Source organism: Homo sapiens, chromosome 12 (assembly GCF_000001405.40).
Source record: "Homo sapiens chromosome 12, GRCh38.p14 Primary Assembly".
NCBI lineage: Eukaryota > Metazoa > Chordata > Mammalia > Primates > Hominidae > Homo > Homo sapiens.
In genome coordinates this window covers 131,692,734-131,714,442 of record NC_000012.12, presented here as the reverse complement: position 1 = coordinate 131,714,442, position 21,709 = coordinate 131,692,734, and the positions used below count along the sequence as shown (strand labels likewise).

General features: G+C 47.9%; 1 protein-coding gene across 8 annotated transcripts in view, besides 3 other annotated features; it reads right to left on the bottom strand.

Annotated features, from left to right (window-relative positions):
* Positions 1-3,353, bottom strand: part of SFSWAP (splicing factor SWAP) — an 88,649-nt gene extending 85,296 nt beyond the window's left edge. For 5 of the 8 annotated variants that reach the window (NM_001261411.2, NM_004592.4, XM_011538653.1 and 2 more), the window contains exons 1-2: positions 2,996-3,353; positions 203-372 (exon numbers count right to left, since the gene is read on the bottom strand). In NM_001261411.2, coding sequence (NP_001248340.1) covers positions 203-372; positions 2,996-3,213 — 388 coding nt within the window. In that variant the 5' untranslated portion in view covers positions 3,214-3,353. Of the gene's footprint in view, positions 1-202 lie in introns of all 8 variants that reach the window. The other 3 variants (XM_024449125.1, XM_047429327.1, XM_047429328.1) reach the window with 1 other exon arrangement.
* Positions 3,119-3,188: an enhancer, noted in NCBI's record as "active region_7369". NCBI's record gives its function as "activates an Ori minimal core promoter by ATAC-STARR-seq in GM12878 lymphoblastoid cells {active_cell/tissue: GM12878}" and the evidence as "EXISTENCE:reporter gene assay evidence [ECO:0000049][PMID:35858748]".
* Positions 3,279-3,568: an enhancer, noted in NCBI's record as "active region_7368". NCBI's record gives its function as "activates an Ori minimal core promoter by ATAC-STARR-seq in GM12878 lymphoblastoid cells {active_cell/tissue: GM12878}" and the evidence as "EXISTENCE:reporter gene assay evidence [ECO:0000049][PMID:35858748]".
* Positions 3,709-3,798: an enhancer, noted in NCBI's record as "active region_7367". NCBI's record gives its function as "activates an Ori minimal core promoter by ATAC-STARR-seq in GM12878 lymphoblastoid cells {active_cell/tissue: GM12878}" and the evidence as "EXISTENCE:reporter gene assay evidence [ECO:0000049][PMID:35858748]".

Genomic DNA, 21,709 nt, shown 5'->3' with positions numbered 1-21,709 from the left:
CTGGGAAAATTCTTTGTGGCTCTATATATAAACTATCCTGAGGTCCTCTCAGAACGCAAAGACTCCTGTTTTTCCAATCCACTGGGTACTGTCAAGATAATATCAGAAAGAGTGAGTATAAAAAAATGAATGGGAGTAAATTTTTAAATACTTAAAAATTTTAAAAAGTTTGTTGCTGAAGTAAGTTTGTCTTGAGCAGTACCTTGCCTTGCCTCCTCCTCAAGCAAGTCCGTATGCAAGGCTAAATACCTCTCTTCATCACACAGGGCCTCTATTCGCGCCTCCTCTTCAGACAGCTGATAATCTCTGTTCCACGTGGAATACTCAGCATCGTACTCAGAAAGGTCATGCAGGTGACCACGTCCATCATATCTGTAATGTGAACAAGCTGGTCAATAAAAGGAAATTAACGTCTAGACTGGTGTGCGTGTGTGATGTTTTATATATGTATATATATATACACACACATACTTACCGATTAAAATAAACAAAAATATTAAAACAAGTATAAAAACTCTTCCCAGATTTATATTTAATTTGGATAGTCATATCTCACCTACTTTTAAACTCAAGTTATCTTAACAAACTCTAAATTCCTTTCCACAGTAAGATAACATTTATAACTAAAGGCAAACAATCCATTAATAGCAAAAATGGTACCCACTTCACTGGCAGTTCTTACCATTATGGTTTGGTCAACCATTCAATGCCACTTGCAAAAAATTATTATTTTTTTCTGAAAAGTTAAATATCATAGCTTACATTCACACAAACCAAATACATAAATACCTATCCGTAAGAACCAAACGGTCGAAATTTCCTCGCTTCTTTCTGCTAGTCCCGAACTCTCAGGAGAGATCTTCACCAAAGAAACTTGCGTCCATTGGAGGTAAAATCTTGGCTAGGCTCGCCCCCTAGCCACTTGGCTGAGGAAATAAGTGCTGGGTTACGTGATAGAGAGACACACATACATTGGAACAGTGACATATACATGCAGTTTAAGGAGGTTCACTGGGAACAGAGCAAAACTATTAGAAGATATGGTATCAATATTTCCTTCTGAACTTTATACCCTCAAGGAAATAACATACATGAAGACACTTCCATGTTTCTCTTGCATGGACCAAACAGTAGTTTGGCCAAATAAGTAATGGGAGCACTTTCTGCTATGCTTTTAACATAAAGGATTCAATGAGGATGCTGTCAACGTGTAACTGTCAGATAATAAATGAATGAGTTAGTGAACTTTACTTAAAACACTCAGGTTTAGGGTTTCAAAAACAAATGTAGAGAAACAAACAAAAGTCTGCTTATTTTTTTAATGCTGACTTTTGTAATGGGAACCAAAAATATTAATGTAGACCAAAAAAGACATTTACAGGAAAAAGGCCCAAAATTCCAAGGTAGTCAAGTTACTGCATTTCATTAAATTTCAAAATTAATTGGATTTTGATGTAAACCTCCTTAACTTACAAATGTAGATTATTATTAAAAATATTATACATGTACATGTGCGGCGTTTGCTCCCCACCAGTTTTGGAAGACCTAACTCAAATCATGTACAGAATGATAGGAAAACTGTACAAAGAGCTCAGACTTCATTGCTTACCAAACTTTAATGATAAATAACACAAGTGACACTTTGGAAAAGCAAGCCTGACAACTCAGGCGACACATTCAATATAAACCATGGTGTGAAGGCACAGCACGCTTGAGCACAGCACGGAGCCATCAGATCCAGACATGATCTGATTCCGCGGCCCTCCCTTCACCAGTTCTCGTTTTCGAGCTCTAATTCCAAAAGGAAACGTCAGGGATGGAAAAAGGCCTATTTGGTCATTAATGTGTCCATTCTGGCCAGCTCAGAGGTCATCCCTACAGTCATGCTCCAGGGCTATGAAGAATCCAGTTTTAATGGTCTCAAACGATGGGCTTTCTTCACGTGGAGAGACTATTCCACAGTTTAATGGTTGGTCATGGTTAGCTTTTCAGTCCGGGCCCCAGAAGTAGCCGAACAGGCAAAAAAGAAAAAAAACCACCCCACAACAACCCCAAAACCCAGAGACGAGGGGAAGGGGGATTGAAAAAATGGGAAGAAAGAGGGGAGCAAACCACCTACATCATGTAATGTTATCCTTTTCAAATCAAACGCCTTTAGAAATCCCTAATCCCAGGCCCCCACTGCCCATAATCGCTAGACACCCTCGAGTGACGACCTAAAGCAGGTTTGATTTGAAAAGAAACAACACATCTATATCCCAGCTCCACCCTTCAGTCTTAAGAGACAGTGAAACCAGCCCTAAGAACACTATCTCTTCCAAGAGCAAGGCCAGGGTCCGCACGAAGTCAAGTGGCCACCAACTGACGGGCAACTTTGCTCACTACCTCAATCTGTCAAACTCGTCGGATTATCACCGGGAAATCAAACGTCATGCCGGCAAAGTACGGGCGCTCCACTGAGGGCTCTGGGGGCATAACAGGTTAAGGCTAACTCACAGGTCCAAGAGACACTTCTAGCCACTGTCTCAGTGAGCGGCGGTTCGGAAGAATAAAGGCACGCCTCCCAGGGTACCCTCCCAGTACACCGAGCAGTGAGAGCGCGGCAAGTAGAAAAGCAGCGCACGACCCCATGGCATCGCCGGGCGGCAGGCCCAGGTGCACTCAGGAAAAGACCCTGGGCACTGGCTGCTTTCACCGCGCGGAATCGCCAACTGCAGCCCAGCGACAGGGTGAGGGGTCGAGAGGGGCTGCGGGACCAGAGACGATCCCTCCGGAGACGGACGCGGCACGCAATTCCAGCCAGTGCCTTAGGGCAGGTTTCACCGTCCCCCTCCCCACCAGAACACCAGGAGGAGGTGGGGACAGGGGAGGGGGTGTCCCCCAGATCCCCGCTGGCTCCAGAAAACTCTCTGCAGTCCTTGCAGTCAAGTCAACATCAGACGAGATCAAGCGGGTGAGGGAAGGGAAGGATCGACGGGTGGGGAGAGGAACCGACCTGTCGATGAGGATCTTGTGGTCCCCCATCCAGGGGATGAGGTGCTGTCCCTGTTCCTGAGCCAGGGCCCGCTCGTCGTCCCGGAACAGCTTGCAGGCATAGCCGAAAACCAAGAGCTCCACTCGGCTGCCCCCACCGCCGGCACCGCCTGGCCCGGCCTCCTCCTTCGCGCCGCTTTTCCTCTCGGGTTTGGCGCGGCCCCCGCTCGCGCCGTACATGACAGCGTCCCCGGCGTCCAGGCTGGTCCTCTTCTGTGCCGCGCGACGTCCCTGATACCTCCACTTGGCCTACCCCTTCAGTCAAAGACCCCGCATCCCGTACCCAACCTCAACACCGCCGCCATAGCGGGCCACAAAATGGTGGAGGGGCAGCTTCCGGCAGGAGAGCCCGCATTTCCGGCGAGCGGACCGGCAGATTCGCCTAGGCTTGGAGCTCTTTTAGCCGCTAGGAAATATTTTGGCTTTAATTTTCGCATTCAGGTGTGCCGCCACAATAGGCGCTGCTGTATTCAGTGGAAAGTGCAATTTTAATGTCCGTTTTATCGGGCAGCCGTCAGGACGTGGCGAAAGCGCAGCGTGGGATCGCGCGCCGGCTTCCGCTGCGGCCAGTCGGGCGGCGACGGAGTCGGAGGGAGGGGCCCGGCGCGCTCTGGGCCTTGGGCGAGTCCTCGTGGGTGGCGGGTTGCTGCAGCCTGCCACATGTGTGGAGGCCTCGGGTCCACCCCGAGCCTCCGCGCCCCTCACCATGTCCGAGTCGCTGGGGCCGTGCGTGCTCTGCCCAGGGTGGCGATGTCCTTTTCCTTGGCCCCGTTTCCTTCTCCATCCCTAGGGGGACTTGGTCCCCGACCCGCCCACCTTTGAAGGTTTCCGAGGCAGCAGAGGCCCCTGCGCTGCAAATCACTCGCGGGTGGCGAGATTTCGGAAACCTGAGACCCTTGTCGCCGGGAGATGGTCTGGCGGGGCAGGGAGACCCCAGTCTGGAGACTGGCCACCTGGATACGGTGCAATTTTGCTTGGTGTGTTTCCTCCTGGGCCGCAGTTTTCCCATCGGTGGTTCCATTAGGATCTTTCGGTCCCTTTTAGCTCAGTAATTTCAGGTCAGACAAAGGGCCTGGAGTGCAAAATCTTAGGCTTTGGGATGGGATGGGATATCCCCATGTTTGCCCTTGAGTGGAAAACGATGACAGATCGTCTCCTTTCTGGGCCTCAGATCCCCTCTCCATAAAAATGGAATCTTTCTACCAGTGATGTTGAAATGAGATAATGTATATGAACCTTTAACTGATTTTTGGAAATTAAGAAACAGGCAGTTCCCACCAAACGTCTTTTGTTGTGGTTTCCCCTGACTGGGTCATGCTTCTGTCTTCATTTGCCAGGCTCCTTACCCAAGTTTAACTCAGTCATCCATTTCTCCACCTGGCCTTATGTGTCTACGTTGTCTGGAGTTTCCCCTCACTGGTGGCTAACTTGTGCCTTCCGATTTGTCTGTGTACCTCTCATCACCACCTTAGGTTACATCCTGTGTTCAGCATCCCACCAGAATTAGCTTTAAGAGATCAGGGACATTGTTGGGGTCACCTTAGCATCCTCAGCACCTAGAATGGTGCTTAGCACACTGTGGGCCAAATACTGGTTAATACCTGTAGAATGAGCCGGGCCAGCAGCTGAGCATGCGTGGCCAGGCCATCATCTTCCTATCTAACTCTACAAGACTGCTCTGCCACTGCTGAGGAAGATGTATGTGTCATGGTTACTTGATAAAAACACTGTTGTTTGCCCCCAGGCATTTACTAGTTTGTTTCGGTGCTGGGCTCCCTTCAAGCTTTCCCTTGGGTTCAGGTGTGGGGTGCTAAAGCAAATAAGGAGGCCATTAGCTTGAGATCAACTCTGTAACACCAGCTCCTATGCAAGCAAACCAAAACCCAATCAAGTAATTTTTCTGCTTCCGTGTTGGGTCTATAAAAGCTTGCTGCTCATGCTGCTGAGTGGAACTCTCTGAACCTCTTCTGCTTCTGCATGCTGCCTGATTCATGAATTGTTTTCTTGCTCGAATAAACTCGAATTTGTTTTGTGTAAAGTTTCTCTTTTAACAGTTCTGGTGTCAGAAATGGGATCTGAAGGCCCCCCTATTCCCTCAATGATGACCTCTGGGAACAGTGACTAAACAGATGCAGGTGCTTCATTGTGCAGGACAGTTCTCTGTATAGCCTTGGGCCTACCCACTTCTCCCTCCTTTTCCTTTGTAGTTTTCAAGAGTAACTGCATAACGAGCTGGGATGCAACATCCTGAGATAGGGAGGGACTGGCTGAAGTAGCCCAGGCTCTGTTCCAGTTCTCCCCTAGAAATAGAAGGTCCTTCAACACTTTAGCCCAGTGATTCATGTGACATGTGGTATGTAATCTGGGTGGGCTGCTCTTCGGGATCTCTTATCTGTGGTGTAAGTGAGGAATACGCAGTAGAGATTTCATCCACCTGGGCAACTTTCTGAGCTTTGGGGGGATTGGCTCACAGTGAGTCCTAGTCTTCGTCTCCTACCACCTGTCTATAGGTAATAAATGCACTACATGTAAATTGTTGCTTATGAGAATTCAGAACAGGTTGGTAACCAGTGCCCGTGGGCCTGCTTCACACACTGAGCCATTTGTGCTCAGGGCTTCTCACTGCACATTTGGAGGCCGCCACTTGTAGGCCCTGCTTGGATACAAACTCTACAACTTGTGTCAAATTCTTAAAGTTTATTTGAGCATTTTTGATCTGAGCTGGGTCCAGAAGTTACAACAGAAACTGGGACTGGATCCAGTACAAGGCCTATGGGAGCAGGACTGAGTCCAGTAGGAGGCTTATGGTAGGAAAGGGTATGAGAATACAGGGAATGATGCCTTCATTTGGATCCAAGGAGTCTGAAACTCCTCCACCTGGAACTCCAGCCAATTTCATGTATAAGAACCTATGAACCCAGAGTCTGCACTTTTCCAGAGAAATGGGTGAACCTACCAAAGGTAATCTAAGAGTTAACAGTGGTCAAAGTGAGGAAGTTTTAACCTAGATAAAATTGTTCACTTGCAAGACATTAGAAAAGAAAGGATATTTGCAGGACTAGGTCTGAAAGGAATAAAATAAAATATTAAGAAAGGACAAAAAACACCTCAGAAACAAAAGGATGTATTTTGATTGACATGCAGAGGCTTCTAAAAGGTTAAATGAACCAAAAATTGCCTTTCTAAATGACTTCTTACAAAAAGCAAATGAAAAACTTAAGCAGCTAATTTATGAGAAAAAAAATTGTATTTTGATGTATTGAACTCACTGTACATTCTATCTTTCTATCCTTCTCTGCCTACTCAGAATCTCCTAACTTCTTATCTCAGTTACCTTCCTACCCCAAAGACAAAAAGAAAGCTAAACAAATGCCTTATATAGTTAGGCCCTCAGATTAATAAGTCTGCTTCTTTAATCACTGTTATGCCTTGTTCAGAAATCTTTTGAGTTCAGAGCAACAGTGAAAGGTTTCAAAGGAAAGCCCCCAGAAATTTTCTTGGAGGTAAAAAATTCTCCTGGAGTATATGATCCATGATTCCTTGATCTTTCCCAATTTATTCATATGATACTGGGACTGGTGATACTTGAAAATGGATGGCTGAGGTCAAATGGGAGGTACTTGAGAAAGATATCAAAGATCTAACCATTCAGTCTTTCAGGGATGGACTAAAAACCGGCTAGGGAAATCTCATATGTCAAAATAAAGATCACAAGATCTTAAATTTGGAAAGGAGAACTTTATTTCTGAGAAGAGTTGCAACCCACAGCCTGGGAAGCAGACCCTCTGGCTGAGACAGAAAGTAGGCACTTTGAAGGAAGAAGGGTGGGAGAGGAGTTTTATGCTAAACAGGTTGGCTAAACATACATATTTAATAGGTTATAGGAGGAGCTATGAATATTTGTGAAAGGGGCTTGCTAGGTTGTGTGGTAAGCAAACATTCATGTTACATGGTCCCAAGTTCACTTCAGGGTGGAGACTTCACATTAAAATGTAATACAATTAGTCTGTGTAGGTCAAAAGGTGAAACTTAGGATTGTTTGAGTGTGGAAGGTCAAGGCTGCAGTGAGCTGTGATTGTGCCACTGCAGTATAGTCTGGGCGACAAAGCAAGACCCTATCAAGACCTTGTCTCAAAAAAATAGGTGAATAAATAAGATTAAAGAACTGTAAAAACCTAAGAATAAACATGCAAATGTGTGTTTTGTAAAATTGTTTTCAACTGACACATAATAATTGTACATATTTATGGGTACAGTGTGATATTTCCATTGCATGTATACAATGTGTAGTGATCAAATCAGATAATTAGCTTATCTATTGCCTCATTTATCATTTATTTGTGCTGAGAACATTCAAAATCTGCTCGTTTAGCTATTTGAAACATACTATAAATTGTTAATTATAGTCACCCTGCAGTGCTATGGAACACTAGACTCATTCCTCCTAACTAGCTGTACTTTTGTATTTGTTTTTTATTTATTTTTATTTATTTATTTATTTATTTATTTATTTATTTATTTATTTATTTGAGACAGAGTCTTGCTCTGTCATCAGGCTGGAGTGCAGTGGCACCATCTCGGCTCACTGCAACCTCTACCTCCCAGGTTCAAGCGATTCTCCTGTCTCAGCCTCCCAAGTAGCTGGGACTACAGGTGTGCGCCACCATGCCCAGCTAATTTTTGTATATTTATGTATTTTTAGTACAGATGGGGTTTCACCACGTTGGCCAGGATGGTCTCATTCTCTTGACCTCGTGATCTGCCCGCCTCGGCCTCCCAAAGTGCTGGGATTACAGGCGTGAGCCACTGTGCCTGGCCGACTACTTTTGTATTTTTTAATCAACCTTTGGCTATGCCCCCTTCTCCTGACACTTCTCAGCCACTACTAGCCACTATTTTACTCTCTACTTTTATAAGATCAACTTTTTAAGCCTCCACATATGAGTGAGAACATACAGTATTTATCTTTCTGTGCCTGACTTATTTCTCTTAATAACCTCCAAGGTTGTCCATGTTGCTGGTATGACATAACTTTATTCCTTTTTTTTTTTTTTAAGACGGAGTTTCACTCTTGTTGCCCAGGCTGTAGTGCAATGATGCGATGTCGGCTCATGGCAACCTCCACCTCCTGGCAACCTCAGCCTCCCAGGTTCAAGCAATTCTCCTGCCTCAGCCTCCCTAGTAGCTGAGATTACAGGCATGAGCCACCATGCCTGGCTAATTTTGTATTTTTGGTAGACATGGGGTTTCTCCATGTTGGTCAGGCTGGTCTTGAACTCCTGACCTCAGGTGATCCACATGCCTCGGCCTCCCAAAGTGCTGGGATTACAGGCATGAGCCACCGTGCCCAGCCCAGAACTTTATTCCTTTTTTGTGGCTAAATAGTATTCCATTATGTGTATATACACTGCATGTTCTTTATCCATTCACTTGTTGATGGAGAATTTTATGCTGGAGAATGTTCCATGTACTGATGAAAAGAAAATGTAATCTTCAGCTATTAGATGAAAGATTCTATAAATGTCTGTTAGGTCCATTTGATATAAAGAACAGTTTAAACCTAATGTTTCCTTGTTGTTTTCTGTCTAAATGACTTCTCCAGTGCCACGAGTGGGGTGTTGAAGTCCCCAGCTGTTATTGTATTGGAGTCCATCTCTCCCTTTAGATCTAATAATACTTGCTATTTATGTATCTGAGTGCTTTGGTGTTGGGTGCATGTATATTTATTATATCCTCTTGCTGAATTGATCCTTTTATTATAACATAATGACCTTTTCTCTTTTTACAATTTTTGCTTTACAGAGTCTGTTTTATCTGATATAAATACAGCTAATCCTGCTTGCTTTTGGTTTTTGTTTGCATGGAATATCTTTTTCTATCCCTTCACTTTCAGTCTATATGTGTCTTTAATGGGTGTAGTGAATTTCTCGTTGGTAGCATATAGTTTTGTCATTAAAAAAAATCCTTTCAGCCAGTCTATATCTTTTTAGTGGGAGAATTTAACCTGTTTTAATTCAAGGTTATTATTAATATGCAAGGACTTATTCCTGTCATTTCATTGACTGTTTTCTGGTTGTTTTATATATCCTTTGTGCCTTTCTTCTTTGCTTATTGTTTGTTATTTTGGTTTGGTGTATTTCTGTAGTAACAGGTTTTTATTCTTTTCTTTTCTTTTTTTTTGAGACAGGGTCTCACTGTGTTGCCCAGGCTGAGTACAGTGGCATGCCCATGGCTCACTGCAGCCTCAACTTCTCAGGCTCAAGCAAATCTCCTGTCTCAGCCTCCTGGGTAGTTGGGGCCACAGGCATGCACTGCCACACCTGGCTAATTTTGTTTTTGTAGAGATGGGATTTCACCATGTTGTCCAGGCTGCTCTCAAACTACTGGGCTCAAGCAATTTGCCTTCCTCGGCCTCCCAGAGTGCTGGTACTACAGGCATGAATCACCCTGCCCAACCAAGTTTTTATTATTTCGTCTTTCTTGTTTGTGTACCTGGTCTACCAGTGAGTTTTATACTTTTGCATGTTTTCACGATAGTGACGATTATCTTTTCTCTTCCAGATGTAGGACTCCCTCAATCATTTCTTATAAAGCTGTTCTAGTGGTAATGAATTTCCTCAGTTTTTGCTTGCCTGCAAAAGACTTTATTTCTCTCTCATTCCTGAAGGATAGCTTTGCTGGATATAGTATTGTTGGTTGACAAGTTTTTTTTTTTCTTTCAGCACTTTAAATATATCATCCTGTTCTCTGGGTCTAGCCTGTAAGATTTCTGCAGAGAAATCTGCTGTTAGTCTAGTGGGGATTCCCTCATATGTGACTTGATGCTTTTCTCTTGATGTTTTTGTTTTTATATATTTATTTATTTATTTATTCTTTTGATACAGGGTTTCACTCTGTCACCCAGGCTGGAGTTTAGTGACGCGATCTCAGCTCACTGCAGCCTCGACCTCCCAGGCTTAGGTGATCCTCTGACCTCAGCCTCCTGAGTAGCTGGGATTACAGGCACATGCCACCACGCCTGGCTAATTGTGTGTGTGTGTGTGTCTATATATATATATATTTTGTTTGTTTGTTTGTTTGTTTTTTGTTTTTTGTTTTTTGGTAGAGATGAGGATTCACCATGTTGCCCAGGCTGGTCTTGGACTTCTGGGCTCATGTGATCCACCTGCCTTGGCCTCCCAAAGTGTTAGGATTACAGGCATGAGCCACCATGCCCACCCTCTTGATGTTTTTAGAATTCTCTCTGCCTTTAACTTTTGACATTTTGACTATAATTTGCCTTGGGGAGGACCTTTCTGGGTTGAATCTATTGGGAAACTTCAAGCTTCCTGGATCTGGATGTTTATATCTATTTCCAGATTTGGGAACTTCTCAGCTATTATTTCATTAAATAGGTTTTCTATGTCTTTTCTCTTCTCTTTTTCTTTGGAATACCCATAATGCAAACTCTGTGTGTGTGTGTGTGTGTGTGTGTGTGTGTGTGTGTGTGTGCGCTTAATAGTGTCCCATGTCTTACAGGTTTTTAAATATTTTTCATTCTTCTTTTTTTTTCCTCTGACTAGGTAATTTCAAATGACCTGTCTTCATATTCAGAAATTCTTTCTTCTGCTTGATCAGGTCTGCTGTTGAAGCTCTCTATTGTGTTTTTATTTTATTCATTGAATTCATCAGTTGCTGGATTTCTGTTCAGTTGGTTTTTTTTTCTATGATTTCTATCACTTTCTTGAATTTCTTGTTCATATTCTGAATTGTTTTCCTGATTTTGGTGGATTGTGTATCTGTATTTTCTTGTATACTGTTGAGTTTCCTTCAGGTCATTATTTTGAATTCCTTTTCTAGCAATTTGTTGATTTTCTTTTCATTTGGGTCTGCTACTAGAGAGTTATTAGATCCCTTTGGTTGTGTCATATTTCCTTGCTTTTTCATGTTTCTCATGCCCTTGCATTGATGTCTGTGCATCTGGTGGAAAAACCACCTCCTCCAAATTTTGAGAGTGCCTTGCATAGAGAAAGACTTTCACATGTAGTTGGGTTGGTTTTAATGTGCTGGTTAAAAAGGATGTGGTGACTCTGTTTCCAGATAAGTGCAGTGATATAGTCCCTACTCAGCTTCTTCAGCTGTGTTGAATATCAGCAGTAACTGTAGGTGCCTCAGTTGTCTAGGCTGTAGAAGTTTGTGGTAGCAGTGGTGCCAGCATAGATGGTTAATGTCCTTGGTATCAAAGGACATTTGGTTTTGATACAATAAATTTTGACATTAGGTTTTGGGATCCTCCTATTCCTGTTTTCCCCACAATAGGGGACTTAGGTCAGGGCATCTCTCTTGATATCAGTCTGACATGGCCTATAAGCAGCTCCAGTGATGCTGGGTTCCAGATGTAGGTGCTTGCAGCAGCTATGGATCCAGGGTCCTAGGCTCAGGGTCTCACAAGCCTATTATGGCACCTGGGTTTTGGGGTCTAGGTTCATTCTTTGCGGCAGGGTTGGATGTTGGTTGCCCATAGATCTGTGACTCTGAGACACTCCCTAGCAGCTCAGGCCTGGGGGTCTGGGTTGTAGCTGTGATTCTACCCCTCGGGGACAGGGCACAGCACCGGCCCAACTCTGGGGAAGAAGGGTTGTCCTGGGGGTTTGGGCCTCAGGATCAGGGCATGACTGCAATTTGGTAACCTCAGCCAGTAGGGCTCAGTGGCAACTTGGGTCCCGGGGGATGAGGCAGGCACCAGGTGGTAGTGACACTAGACTCTGGGATGGTGAGGCTTGGCAGTACCCCACACTCTGGGAGGCCAGGTGCAGTGATGGCAAGGACCCCAGATGGTGGTATAAGGTTGTCATTTGGGCCCTTGAGGGGTAGGGAATAACACAGCAATGCCTCCACTTCCCAGGTAGAGGGCTGTCTCAGCCCCTGAGACTCTAGAGTGCTAGTCCAGCTCCAGGGAAGCAGGTACTAAAGTTGTTTGGCCTGTAGGGTAGGTGTCTCCGCTCAGCCACTGCTGTTTCCCTGGAATGTGGGGTACCATCTCAGCTCAGCTCTGGGATGTGAAGCTGTTCAGCTTGGCCAGGGCACTGATTCCTCAGGAAGCAATGTGCTGTTTCACCTCAGGCCTGAGGGGTGTGACTGTTCTGGGCAGCCCAGGCACGGTTTCCTGGGATATAGGGCACTGCTTCAGCTCAGGCCTGGGGTGCGTGACTGCTCTGGGCAGCCCAGGCACTGTTTCCTGGGATGTAGGGCACTGCTTCAGCTCCTGCCCAAAGGGGTAGAGGGAGGGGTAGGCAGAGTGGCTTCACGTCCACCTGGCCCCACCGGGAAGGCTATAACAGCTGCACCAGTTCTGCTTGGGGATGTTGGGCCATTGGGCTGGGGTGGTTCCACAGGAGCCACCCTTATTGTTCCAGACCATGACACACTCCAGCCATGCTTCCAGTTCCAAGATGGCAGAGCACAGTAGCCACGTGGGCCACGGGGGTGGGCACTGTGTTGCTTCCTTCTCTGGGGGAGCACAGCCACGTAGACTCCAGGCAGCTCCCTCTGCTGAGCTTAGTGCCTGGGGGGACTACAGGGACCCCGGTGGTGAGGGCTGTGGGCGTCCATGGTGGTGGTGAGGGCTGTGGGCGTCCATGGTGGTGGTGGGGGCTGTGGGCGTCCATGGTGGTGGTGGGGGCTGTGGGCGTCCATGGTGGTGGTGGGGGCTGTGGGCGTCCATGGTGGTGGTGGGGGCTGTGGGCGTCCATGGTGGTGGTGGGGGCTGTGGGCGTCCATGGTGGTGGTGGGGGCTGTGGGCGTCCATGGTGGTGGTGGGGGCTGTGGGCGTCCATGGTGGTGGTGGGGGCTGTGGGCGTCCATGGTGGTGGTGGGGGCTGTGGGCGTCCATGGTGGTGGTGGGGGCTGTGGGCGTCCATGGTGGTGGTGGGGGCTGTGGGCGTCCATGGTGGTGGTGGGGGCTGTGGGCGTCCATGGTGGTGGTGGGGGCTGTGGGCGTCCATGGTGGTGGTGGGGGCTGTGGGCGTCCATGGTGGTGGTGGGGGCTGTGGGCGTCCATGGTGGTGGTGGGGGCTGTGGGCGTCCATGGTGGTGGTGGGGGCTGTGGGCGTCCATGGTGGTGGTGGGGGCTGTGGGCGTCCATGGTGGTGGTGGGGGCTGTGGGCGTCCATGGTGGTGGTGGGGGCTGTGGGCGTCCATGGTGGTGGTGGGGGCTGTGGGCGTCCATGGTGGTGGTGGGGGCTGTGGGCGTCCGTGGTGGTGGTGGGGGCTGTGGGCGTCCGTGGTGGTGGTGGGGGCTGTGGGCGTCCATGGTGGTGGTGGGGGCTGCTGGGGTCCTCTTGCTTTCCTCCTCACCCCAGGGAGAAACTTCTCGTGGGTCCCAGCTGGTCCCAGTTGGGGCATGGGGTGGTGGAGGCCCAGCATTTCCTTCCCGATGTGGCCATCCTGAGTTTCTGTGCTCACCAGCATTTCTGTGACTCCTCTGATGCACTCCACCGCTCTCTCTCTGTTACTTTCATTCCAGTGCTGTTGTGTGTTCATTGTTCTGGCTGTCTCCACGAGGGGCCGAGCACAAGGGGCTTCTAGTCAGCCATCTTGCTGACCCATGTATATGTGTTTTGTATGGTTGAAAGAAGGCCATGATCAAAGTGTGATTTCACAAATAACATGGTTTAATTGCCATACAAAGAGACTCCTTTTTTCACAATGCTCAAAGATGGGGAGGATCATGAGAACAAATATCTCAGGGAATACACTCAACAGATGAGGTACGTTTTGTCTAGGGTTCAGTTATTAAAGTCCAGTTGCTCTAGGGTGGAAGCAGGCTGCTGGGGACGTAGAGTCTAACTGAAGTTTGAGGTGCACCTTTCTATGAGAAGTTATTGGGAGAGACAGTTTGACCAGCACAGCAGAGATCTGGGGCGACGCACCAGGTCCCTCAACACTAGCGAGTGGTGTTGCTTGTGGACGAGGCTTCAAAGAACAGATCAGAGGCTGACAGAGTAGCCCAGCCACAGCCTGAGCTGTCAATGTGTCTGTTGAAATTACGGATGTATATGTGTTTTGGGGTCCAGTACTCACATACGTGGTCTGATAAGGTGTGATGTAAGATCTTCCTGGGCTTGGGCTTATTCTCCATTTTCTCATCACAGCAAAGCATGTGCCACTCATGTAGCACACGAAGTGTTTGGAATCATGTCACAGCTGCATGGCCAAGTGGCCTGCAGGGTCCATCCCTCCATGGATGTCAAGCCCCACAGTAAACCCAAAAACCTATGTATTTAAGTTTTTTGGGATTACTGCTTCATGATGACAAAATAAGCAGCACGAGCTCCGGTTTTCCCATTTTCCTGGGCGATTTCATAGCTAATGTATTTCTTCACCTAGCCTTTCTTCTAAGTTTCTTTGAAATCCGGTGTTCAGAGTGAAAGCTTGTAAACAGTTATGATGAAGCCTTTTTGAAAACAGCTTTGCATTTCTTTCCCACCTGGGCCAAGGCTTGGCTCAGATGTATAACTGGCAATTTTTACTCCTCATAACAGTACCCTGGGTAGATCAATTGATTGACCTTGATGTTTAACTCAGCCAGGTTGTACCGGAGGCTCTGTTCTCACTCCTTCCCTTACTGACTGCACAAGTTTGCCATTTAAAAATGCAGCTGTGTCTATTTCACTCCTCACCACATTGTCCCCAGTCATCATTTCTCTCACTAATTGGCATTATATTCCTGTTTGACTCTGCAGCACCGTTCATGAACTATTTAATCTCTGTCGAGTCATGATGATACATTCGGGAGGGAAACATTTGAGCCGGATGTGCCCTGTGGGACTAAGAAGAAGGAATGTGTTCTATTTGTGCAATCCATCAGCAATTGATCATGGACTGTTTTTGTCTTCTACTGTCTTGAATTCTCATTTCATCTTTCCTTGTTAGACTCATTAGTGAACCAGAATACACACATTCACTCTGAATTCACTCAAAAGGGACCTCACAGATGTGGCTGAGGGTCTTGAGGTGGGGAGATGATTCTGGATTCTTCATGTGTATCCAATATAATTGCGTGGGTGCTTATGAGAGGGAGGCAGGAGTGTCTGTGTCGGGAGAAAGTCATGTGAATATAGAAGCAGAGGTTGGAGTGATGTGGGGTGGCCTCTGGGAGCTGGAAGAGGCAAGAAATGGACTCTCCCTTAGACCAGTGGTCCCAGCCTTTTTGGCACCAGGAACTGGTTTTGTGGAAGACTGTTCTTCCATGGGTGGGGGTGGGGATGGTTTTGGGATGATTCAAGTGCATTACATTTATTGTGTACTTTATTTCTATTATTATATTGTCGTATATAATGAAATAATTATACAACTCACCACAATGCAGTGGGAGCCCTGAGCTTGTTTCCCTGCAGCTAGATGGTCCTATCTGGGAGTGATGGGAGCAGTGACAGATCACCAGGCATTAGATTCTCCTAAGGAGCTCACAACCTAGATCCCTCTCATGCGCACTTCACAGTAGGGTTCATGTTCCTGTGATCATCTTTTTTTTAAAATTTTTTTGAGATGGAATCTCGCTCTGTTGCCCAGGCTGGAGTGCAGTGGTGCGATCTCGGCTCATTGCAACCTCCACCTTCTGGGGTTCCAGCAATTCTCCTGCCTCAGCCTCCCAAGTAGGTGGGATTACAGGCATGTGCCACCACACCCGGCTAATTTTTGTCTTTTTAGTAGAGATGGGGTTTCACCATGTTGGCCAGGCTGGTCTTGAATTCCTGACCTCAGGTGATCCACCTGCCTTGGCCTCTCAAAGTGCTGGGATTACAGGTGTGAGCCACCATGCCCGGCCTCCTGTGATAATCTAATGCCGCTGATCCGACAGGAGGCAGAGCTCAGACGGTGATGTGATTGACAGGGAGCAGCTGTAAATTCAGATGAAGCTTCACCTGCTGACCGCTCACCTGCTTCGCAGTCTGGTTCCTAACAGGCCTGGTACCCATCTGTGGCCCGGGGGTTGGGCACCCCTGCCCTAGAGCTTCTAGACGGAACCAGTCCTGCCAGCGCCTGGGTTTCAACTCCTCGAAGACTCACTGTGGACTTCTGACCTTCAGAATGGGAAGGAAGTAAAGCTGTGTCGTTTTCAACGGTTACAGCAGCAATAGGAAATTAGTGTGTATGGCAACTCCATGCTGAAGCTTCTGAGGCACTGCCAAACTGTTTTCCAGGTGGCTGCTACATGTTACATCCCCACCACCACTTGGTGTGGGCAGTCCTTTTGTGTACAGCCATTCCAGTGACTGTGTGTCTCACTGTGGTTTGAGTTTGTATTTCTCTAATGACTGATGATGTTGAGGATCTTGCCCTATGGTCATTAGCCATCCAGATATATTCTGTGGCGAAGTGTCTATTAAAATCTTTTACCCATTTAAGAGTTATGGACTTTCGGCTGGGAGAGGTGGCTCACACCTATAATCCCAGCACTTTGGGAGGCTGAGGCGGGCAGATCACCTGAGATCAGAAGTTCAAGACCAGCCTGGGCAACATGGCAAAACCCTGTCTCTACTAAAAATACAAAAAATTATCCAGGTGGCGCACGCCTATAATCCCAGCTACTCGAGAGGCTGAGGCAGGAGAATTGCTTGAACCTGGGAGGTGGAGGTTGCGGTGAGCTGAAATCACACCACTGCACTCCAGCCTGGGCAACAGAGTGAGACTCCGTCTCCAAAACAAACAAACAACAACAAAAAAGTTATGGACTTTTCATATGTCCTGATATGCTGATTACACGATATGCTGATTACCTGATATGCTGATTTTTTTCTTAAAGGTAACTATTACCCTGACTTTTATCATGGTAAGTTGGTTTTGCCTGTTTTTATATTTTATGTAAATGGAATTATATAGTATGCATGCTTCTAAATCTGTTGTCTTTTACTTATGTTTGTGAGATTTTCCCAAATCATGGTATATTATGAAAAAAGTAAAGAACTTTAGGCTGAGGAATGTTATGAGAAAAGTAAAGAACTTTAGGCTGAGGAATGTTATGAGAAAAGTAAAGAACTTTAGGCTGAGGGATGCAAGTCCTTTTAATGATCAGGCCCAGAGAGACCGTAGAATGAGGGGCAGCCACATGCTCCTCCCTGCTTCGAGCTGTGTACTCGTCTCTTCAAACTGTGGGCTGTTGCCACAAGTAGCTGTAAATTAACCTAGTAACGCCACACTGGACACTGTGACCCATACCCTACCTTGTAACAAGGTACAGCCAATCACTAATCAATGTTATTTCTGTAGACTAATGAGAATTCTTTTTTCCTTTTGTTTGAGATGGAGTCTTGCTCTGTCGCCAGGCTGGAGTGCAGTGGTGTGATCTTGGCCCACTGCAACCTCCACCTCCCAGGTTCAAGCAATTCTCCTGCCTCAGCCTCCCAAGTAGCTGGGATTATAGGCATGCGCCACCAGGCCCAGCTAATTTTTTGTAGAGGCAGGATTTCGCCATGTTGCCCAGGCTTGTCTCGAACTCCGGAGCTCAGGTGATCCACCCGCCTCGGCCTCCCAAAGTGTTGGGATTACAGGCATGAGCCACCACGCCTGGCCAGATAATTCTTGACATAACTTTTATCAGCCCACTCCTTGTTTCCTTTTGCCTTTAAAAATCCACTTGTAACGGTTGCTAATCAGAGTGTATATTCGGGAAACTTGAATGTGTGCTCTTGGGCCACAATCCTCACGTTTGGCCCAAATAAACTCTCTACTTGTATTAATTTTGCCTCAGTTTCTTCCTTTTGGGTCAACAGTTATTTCTAGTTTGTTCATTCTCACTGCTGAATAATGGCCCATTATGATAGTACCATCGTCTATTTAGTAGTCTGTGGGCATTTGAGTAATTTTACTTTAGGGCAGTTGTAAATAGCGCTGCTGTGAGCATGTGTGTGCATGTCTTTTTTTTTTTTTTTTAAGATGGAGTTTTGCTCTTGCTGCCCAGGCTGGAGTGCAGTGGCGCGATCTTGGCTCATTTCAGCCTCCACCTCCTGGGTTCAAGCGAGTCTCCTGCCTCTGCCTCCCAAGTAGCTGGGATTACAGGCGCCTGCCACTATGCCTGGATAATTTTTTTTGGTATTTTTTGTATTTTTGTATTTTTAGTAGAAACAGAGTTTCACCATGTTGGCCAGGCTGGTCTTGAACTCCTGACCTCAGGTGATTCGCCCGCCTCGGCCTCTCAAAGTGCTGGGATGACAGGCGTGAGCCGCCGTGCCCGGCCATGTGCATGTCTTTTGGTGCACGATTCACATGTTTTTGTGCTGGTATATACCACAGGTGGGACTGATGGGTTGGAGGGTGGGCGTACGTCCTGCTTGAGGAGATACGGCCACGCTTTTCCATGGAGGTGTGCCTGTTCGGACCAGACTGTTTTGCCATTGGGCATTTTCACACGTGGGGGCCACACCCAGGGACCCTATTGCTAATCAGCGTGGCCAACGTTGTCACCTTTAGGCTAGTGAAATGAGAAAGGATGGAGGAAGAGGTGAGTGTCAAGATTGGAAACCAGGACCAGGGAAGGGGCCAGGGAGGGACACCAGGGGCAGGGAGTGGTGACCACGGGACAAGTGAGCCAACGTGTTTAGTGCTAGCTCTGTGGCCTACACCATTGCAAAAGCATTCGGCGTCTCTGTTGAGGGGGGGATTTAACTTAGGCACACGTGTAATCACTTACGTGTGTGTGGACACCCTGGTGACTTGTAGAATTGGTGTGAGGCCATGCAGTATTTACTGCTGTTGCCAAGTTACATCTGTGTGGGGGGGTTGAACAAACATGAAAGAACCATGTTGGAAAGGTGGCATCTAACTGCCCTTGTTACTCAGGGACATCCTTTCCCACACCCGAGGTGCTTTTCCATGTCAGAGGCAGAAACGAAGTGGGAAAGGGTTTTCTTTCCCTAAGACATCAAGCCCAACTCCGTCATGATTTCCTTCCACAAGGAACAGGCGGTCTTGGCAACCAAGTTCCCGATTCACTGACCTGCTCTGCATCCAACCTCCGCTTTTCTGAACCTCAAAGTGTTTACATGTGAAGACAGCCCGATTCTTCAAGAGTCCCAGCGCAGTGTTTTCCCTACACGAGAAGTGTTAAGCTCAGGTGCCGCCAGGGGCCAGGCCTGTATGTGAGGATGCTGCAGAGGTGGAGGTGGTGAGAGTCAGGGTGGGTGCACCGGTCGCACCCTGCAGGAGCACGAGCTGGGGATGCCTGATGAGAAGCTCAGAGTATGGATTTTTATGTGAAATCCCCCATTAAGAAAAAAGTTGGAGTCCGGGTGTGGTGGCTCACGCCTGTAATCCCAGCACTTTGGGAGGCTGAGGTGGGTGGATCATGAGGTCAGGAGATCAAGACCATCCTGGCTAACAGGGTGGAACCCCGTCTCTACTAAAAATAGAAAAAAATTAGCCAGGCGTGGTGGCGGGCGCCTGTAGTCCCAGCTACTCGGGAGGCTGAGACAGGAGAATGGCATGAACCTGGGAGATGGAGCTTGCAGTGAGCAGAGATCACGCCACTGCACTCCAGCCTGGGTGACAGAGTGAGACTCCATCTCAAAAAAAAAAAAAAAAAGTTGGAATAGCAGCCCAAAGAAAACACACCTTCCTGCTAGGCCACCACTTTGCAATCTGTGTTTTAAATATTTTAAAACGTGATTTGAACCAGCAGAATTGTGTTTAAAGCACCCAGCTCTGGCAAGGAGACCACGGAGAGCTCAGCACTTAGACCAGGAAAAGCCCCACAGCCCCCTCCGATGGTCCAGTCTGCGTGCAGGGAGCAGGCACTCTTTGTAGGAATGACTTCCATGGGGAAGGGACTATTCCACTCACCCTCACAGTGGAGGCTTCACTGGCTTTCCCCAGGCACAGGCAGCTGTGTGCAGCTTCTGTGTAAAGCCTCTGTATGCAGCCTCTGTGTGCAGCTTCTGTGAGAAGTCTTTGTGTGCAGCCTCTCTGTGCAGCTTCCATTGTACAGCCTCTCCTTGCAGCCCGTGTGCAGCCTCTGTGCACGGGCCCCCTTGTGTGCACGGCCTTTTTACAGGATCCTTTCTGTCCTGCTCTGTCCTGTTCTGCCTCACCTACTGTCATTGTCAAAGGGTTTCAGCGGGTGCCCTCTCCTCACTTCCCAGTCCTGGGATCAGAAGCCTCAAAGGGGTGTGTCTGCTGCAGGGCGGGCAGGTCAGTGGGCCCCTGGTCTCTCCCGGGGATGCAGGACCATAAGGTAGGCGTGTGTGTTTTTGGGCTGTGGTGTCTCAGCTGGGGACTGTCTTCTGTGGCCTGTGACCCTGGGACATGGTCTCTGCAAACCCCTCTTGGACCCTACCTTGGGGGTCATAGGGGGAGGCAGTGAGACTGGAGGACTGTGGAGGCCAAAGCAACTCCATGTTGGACATGAGTCCGCCATGTTGGCTTCTGATTAACCCCTGTTCCGAGAAGGCCTCTAACATTCCCAGTTTATTGATTGTTTCTTGTGTGACAGCAGGCACTTACTCTAAATCCTGCCACTGGATCAAACAGTCTTAAGGTTACCATCCCTCAGTTGTCCCTTCTGAGTCACCCCTCCCTATGGTCCATGAGCCCTGGGTCTGGGAGTGATGGGGCAGGGATCTACCATCTCATCTCGCTGTCGTCTGAGACACAGAGCTGGCTTCTGTTTGTAAGTCACTATTAGATGTTTCTTTTTAAGGAACTGAACATGTCGGCCTCTTTCTTCAGCCTCTCAGCTTCCTCGGACTCTGGGGTTGACTTGCACACACCTGCCCGCTGCAGAACGACAGAGGACTGGTGGCCTCCAGTTTGCTTCCTGCTCCTCTGAGTGCCACCCCCCAGCAGCCACACTTCTACCAACAGCGCAGGCAGCTGGGACCCAGGAGATTCTCCAAGTGTGGAGGTGTGCGTGGGGGGGCATGGTATTGCAGAGTGAGAGGCCCCTGGAAGACACATGAGGGGGGGCTGCATTGGCTGCCTGGTGTGAGCCCGGCAGGAGGCAGGAGGGAGGGGATATTCCATGAGGCTCAAGGGGCGTCAGAGCAGCGAGGACCTGGACTCACCCCTGGGGAGGGCCAGGGAGGGAGGGAGACCCAGAACGAGCTGGAGGCTGAGTGTGCAGGCAGAGAGGGCCTGGCTGAGCCCCCCAGGCTCAAGTGAGAGTCATTCTGTGCCCCAAGAGTGGCAGAGGGAGGCCAAGTGATCCTCCGGAGGGAAAGAACCCCGGGGAGAGGGGCAGAGGTGACCTCGCAGAGCCCCCACCCCAATGGACGATGGAGGCTCGGTGGACATGGGCAGGCGTGTAACAGCCAGCTCTTCAGGTAAACTAAAGAAAGCAGCCTGCATGTGTGGCATTTGCCAATTTCTGTGGTGTAAACACTGCCCGGGGCTGACCTCCCACTGCAATCTGACGCCACTGAGCGTGGAGCTGGGGGAGATGCTGGTGGTCTCTACCACATGGCGTTGCTACCACAGACTCAACAGCTAACTGCAACAGTAGTAAAATAACCGGGAGCTGAGGGCTTGCAACTATTCCTGTTGCTTTAATAGAATTTACTTCATGGTAAGTTTATCTGATGCAATTCTGATAATGGCAGCATTGAACGCCCGGCTCGTGCATTCCCGGAGCTCTAATGACCGGCTCTGCAAGCTCACGGGCCAACTCCAGCACACCCCACGGAGGCTCCTTGCACGATGATGT